The sequence below is a fragment of the Homo sapiens genome, chromosome 3 (genome assembly GCF_000001405.40).
Source record: "Homo sapiens chromosome 3, GRCh38.p14 Primary Assembly".
In the NCBI taxonomy this organism is placed as follows: Eukaryota; Metazoa; Chordata; class Mammalia; order Primates; family Hominidae; genus Homo; species Homo sapiens.
In genome coordinates this window covers 96504330-96510376 of record NC_000003.12, presented here as the reverse complement: position 1 = coordinate 96510376, position 6047 = coordinate 96504330, and positions in this window count along the sequence as shown.

Genomic DNA, 6047 nt, shown 5'->3' with positions numbered 1-6047 from the left:
TGCAATTCGGATTACAATTCAAGATAAGATTTCACTGAGGACACAGAGCCAGACCATATCAACCAGTAATCACATTTTAACTTTTTCATTATTTCTTGATTTAATTCAATTTGTTGTTTACAATTTTCTGAGCTGTTCTGTTTGTAACACAGAAAAGATAGATCGCTTGGTGGTTTTAGGATTTTTTAAAAATTTAGCAACTTAAAATCTTTGAAATGGCGACAAGAAATAAAGTTTACCTGTTAGTAAAACAAACAAAAAATATAGAATAAAATACCCTGGGTTTCTCTGCAGGGGGGAGACTTTTTTTTTATTTTGGACAATAGATACATTTTATTTTCCCCCTTTGGTATTGAAAGGAGCTTCCTATGCCATAATATTGCAATGCTTTCTAAATTGGGGTTGACAACAAAATAATACAAAAATTCTCAACAAAATCTTGCATTTTTACTTATTTCATCTCCTTTTCCATAATTTCAAAATCATCACTGCTTTTTCAAGAACATTTGTCATGAAATGGAGGCTAACTGGACTATTATTCCATAAAACCTATATATGTACTGGCTTTCTAGATCTTTGGTTTTGATTTATTTGATTATATTATAAAGAGTTTTGTTTTTGAACAACAAAAGAATCACACATCATTTGAAAACAAAGATATTTATAACTTTGTTTAATTTTCAGGTATTTTTAAGACATCAATGAGACAAAGCTTTTAACTAAGAGTCTTGCAATGACTGTTTCTGACATGGTTTAAAAACTCTGTATTCTTTAGCCAAGTCATGATTTTGGCAAAAGAATCTGAATGTAGATGTAACACCGATAGAAGAATCATTTCTGGAGCAATGAGTTAGGAATAAGGAATTCTGGTCAATTTATTTGCAAGAATAACTGCACAGTCTTGGAAACAATGAGAAATGAATAGGTTTCTACATATGGCATTATTTAAATGTTGTTTGAAAATCCTTTCCTTGCTGACATAATCAGGGTCAGTAATGCATATTTTCCTAAAGATAATTTAATCTACACAAGCAAAATGAAGCAAAGTTATATGAATTTAACTTAGCTTTGGAAAAATCTTGTCTTTATCATTATAGGCCATTCCTATGACAACTGTCATATGGTGATTTGGGAACTTTGATATAATTTATACTCCTAATGTGAATTTAAAGTATTACTAAAAATGTTAAAAATTAATTACATGTGAAATATATTATGTGTATTTACATGTCAAAGATCTCCTTGAGCATTCTAGTTTTCAATTCATATCCAAAGTAGTCTTCAAGTTGAATTAACATTGGAAAAAAAAGACTTTTTTGCCAAACTTATATTCTTTTTAATTCATTTTCAGATACTTGACCTTGACTTTTCACACAATAAAATTATTGTGGGAGATAATGTGTGTTTAAAATATATGTTTCACCCAAATAAATAAACACTATGTATACTTCAGTCAAACATGTAGAATATTAAACTTGTGGAATTAAGTGCATTTTTTTTGTAGAGATGTTCATAGATTTTTAATCATATTCTCAAAAACTCTGGAATCTTAAAAAAATTCATGTATCAAAATTTAAGTGCTTTCGTGAGAAGTTTACTTTCTTACTGTTTCCTCTTACTGTGTATTACTGAGCTTATGAGAGGGGATTTCAGAAATCTAAACAAGACTTCAAAAATAAAATAGAATGTATATTCTTCTTTTAAAACACTTAACCCAGAAAAATGACACTGTTTATGGGACTGAAGCATTTCTGCATATTGAGAATGAATTATTTACACTATACATCGATACGAAAAAAATCACAAGAATTTTTCTTCCTCATATTTTCATAGCAGCTGGAGCACACATTTACTCATTACAGAATGCATCTCCTTTGTTTTGTAAAATGTGCACAGGTACAATTTAGTGTATTTAGTGTTTTTCCAAAATTCATATGTGTCCTCTCTAAAATGGAAAGCCTCACTTAAAAGCAGAGCTTTCTTTCACACAATTAGATAAATCGCAACCAATATAAGTTAATTTTGTGATATGCACAAGGTGTATTTATGCAAGACTAGGTATTTTTAAATACAAGAAATGAACTAAAATATTTGTAGAGAGAAAACTGTTTGAATTTCCTGCCATGTTAGCATTTATAGATGGCTTACCTACAATTTTTTTTATAGTTTTGTATCATAAAATGACAGTTGATAGTGTCTTTTTATATACATTATATTGTTAGAAGGAGAAACAGGTTACTATCATATTTTGTTCTAACAGAATATTTTCATTTAGTTTTAAAGGTCTTGACTTCCAAAAGCCATTTGGTGTGAAGAGAAAATAAAAGCCAGAAACCCCAAACATTTATTCTTTATGCTTCTAAGTAATTCCATTGTCTATTACATTAGAGCACTTGAAATGATTAGTCACCAGTGACATATTGGGGGAAAAACTATTTTGTTCTAGAAATTATACAAGATCAACAAAAAGAAACATTTTAAAATCTTGAATAATGATTACTAAAATAATTTTTAAAATGCACAGGAAGTTTATACAAAATTTTATCCCCTTTACATACACATACACATATACACGTAACAGATCGGTATGGTACTCTGCTACATGAGTAAAAGGCCTTATATCTTATTTATTGGCATAATATTATTATTATATCAAAATATGAGTTGTTGAACCATGACTACTATAAAGAATAAACCACTACCTAGGTGATGGGTTGACAGGTGGAGGCAAACCATGATGGCACATGTTTACCTATGTAAGAAACTTGCACATCCTACACGTGTACCCAGAACTAAAAATAAAAATTAAGAAAACTCTATAAATGAAACAATTAGAAGGGAAATAATATTGAAAGCATGCATTAAAAGTGAATGTTAAATGAATTAAAACACAGGTAAAAAATAAAATAATTTATGATTCATTAGTAATTATTACTATTTAATTCATTTTTATTCTTTAAAATATTCTTTAATTAGGAAATAGTAATTTCATATTAGAAAGTCCATTCTTTGATGAATATAATAATACTGAAGTCTTGAACAAAGTTTGTAGACTGTTAGAGTTAAAAGCGATCATAAACATATCCATTTTAGCCACTTGCGGACATAGTTGAGAGCTGCTACTGTGGCTGCTATTGATGAAGGTGATGATGAAAAATCTAAAGATGATAATTAGAAAGATTGTTGATGAAGCAAAAAATTTTCAAGAAACTTTAAGCATACAAATTGTCAAGCTTTTTGGAGAAAAATAATAAAATTTCTGTAAAACCTGCAAGTAATCTATGAGCAGGAATGGTCTTAGTATATAATCATTACTTTCTGAAATTTATAGTTATAGAAACCTTTCAGTTAGGGCAAAGGCAGTGGAACAAAACTATATATGTGAAACCAAATGACCACCAGACAAATTCACTCGGAAATTAAGCAGACCTCCAAGCTTTGCCTGAGCAGCCTCTTCTCTGAGTAGGAATATGCTTTGGGGAAATAATTCAAAGTGAGGACAAAGAATTAAAACTCTGAAAGTCTAAGTAAATTTTATTATGGAACACTTATTTATTTTGAGCTATAATGAGGTCTGTATAGGAAACTGATAACAGTGAAGGCAACTTATTCATTGCTCAAAACCATCAGTGTAAAATGAAAAATCTCATCTAAATACCCCATTTTCAGCATTATTGCCTTTTGTAACAGCCACAGCAGCATAAAGAATTTGTTTGTAGTTGAGGAGTCTACCAACAGAAAAGGGGCAGAGCTAAGTTCTCACTCCTATGTTATAGCAGACGCAACCAGTGCTGGCTCTTGGGCAGGAGCATTCTGGATGACCTCATTCCACTAGAGTAATGACAATGGCAGCACTTGGGAAGAATTTCTCTAGATAGTGAACATTCTGGATACCTCCAGCTTTGTGACTATATCAAGCAATGCAGCGTGATACTCGAAGCCACCTACTTCCAGAAGTAGTTACGAACTTGCAAATTTTCAGGAGTGGTTTTTCAAAAATCTGGCTCAAATAATGAGACAGAAATAAATGGCATTTGTCATTTAGATAAACACCTGGATGACTTTCGCCAAATAAAGAAGTAATATCCTGAAGAGGGAGAGAGGCCTGAATTTTCTGCAGTTTGAATACATAAAGGATCTAATTATATCTTTGAAACACTGGGTGAAATTGGGGATTGAGGGTTTTTTGTACCTACACCCGAAAAACAGAATATCATAGAACTAGAATAATACATTAAATAACAGTATGTAGTTAAGGATTCAAAGCTATTTCTCTCTTATTATAAAGCCTGTGACCTTCTCACCATTTCATCTTGTTTTTAAATGAGAGAACAGAAAGAAAAATGATTTGTTCAAATGAGATAGCTTGAATTTTTAGAAAAAGTTTAAAACTTTAGATGGAGTACTAGAAAGGGGTGTGGAAGAAAGATTGGAAGTCACTGGTGCTTGGCAGATGATAATGATGACAAAATAGGAACAATAAAGTATTTGGCTTTTAAAGCTTTAAAAAATGTTTTTATAAGCAAATGCAAGCCCAGTTTCAAAGTCACCTAGGAAAATAAAGGCTATTCAAGGTGTATGCTAAAAGATCTATTTGAAATGGACAGCTTTTGGCACTCTCATTGTCTTCTGGAAATATTCGGTTATACATTGGTTGTAGTGCAACCTATATAGGATATTTCGATTACATTACTGTTACATTAGAGACCTAGGATTTAATAATTATTATTTACTTTTAAATGAGCATTGTGTTTAGGACACTTGTTCCTTGTTTCTGCCTATTTCCTTGATTTTCTATGCTGTCTAGTTGCCATACAATTATACATTCTGCTTGTTTTAAATGACCTACAGAATTCTGTATTTCTGTGACAAAAATATGAAATCATGTTACCTCGCTGATTTTCTCTCCTAATTTTCCTTTCTTCTGCTCTCAAAATCTGTGTTTTGTATTATGCTGAAGCTACAGGTACATACAGGCCTTCCTTAACTGAAAGTTACTTTCTAACTACTAAGACCCATTACTCTAGTGGATTTCCTCTACACCATGGATTTCCTCGACACCATAATCATTTGGCTTTAAGGCAAAACAGGCTGAATAGATTAGTTACATTAAGTCAATATATTATTACTGTTAGTCTATGCTTCTCCCATGTGCTTTCTACTCAGATCCTGAGAATTCTATTTGACCAATGGGAAAAAGACTTGAGAGATTTTGCCAACAATAATTCTAGTATATTCCATTAACTGTCTATCAACAATGCTACCATTATAGTAAGCATTGAACATAAGTGTGGCATTGAATTGCACAAAGGAGAACTCGAGGGTTTACTTCCTTAGCAAGAGCAATTCTTTTGGTGATAGCTAGACTGTGCAGTACCCAATGTGAATTCATCCGATTATACTGAGTCCATATTCAAAATCACAGTCCTCCTTTCAGCACTTCCTCTTCCTTTAAGCAATTTCTCCAAGTTTTGAAGTATGAAACCAAGTCACTGATTGAAATCCTTCACTCAGGTTTCTCCAAGTTCCTCCCTGTGTAAGTTCTTAGTAGGTGTTAGCCCATTATGTTTTTCTTTATTAATGTTCATATATTTATGGACACCTACTGAATGAATGCAGGTATTATGATTGGTTTTGCAGATGAAAAAGATTTCTTATATGATTTCCCTGATGTTAGGAATATTTCAGTTCAGCGGGAAATACATATTAACAAAACTATGTTAGAGTAATAATAATAATAATAGCTAGTCTTATATAGTTCTTACTAAGTTTCGGACACTTTGTAACATATCTGCATATACTACAAATTTTTCTTCAGAGAGAGGAACTCAAGTCAAGAGTTTAAGTAAATTGACTAAGTTCAGTCAAATCACTACACTCTATGACAGTGGAAAAAAAGTCTCCCTGAGAATCAGAGAACGCTTGTATTTGGAAGTAACACTTGAACTGGACCTTACATTATTTAAGATTAAAATGGAAGAATACTAGGCGGAAGAATGTTACATGATTGGAAGGGGAACATCACACACCGGGGACTGTTGTGGGGT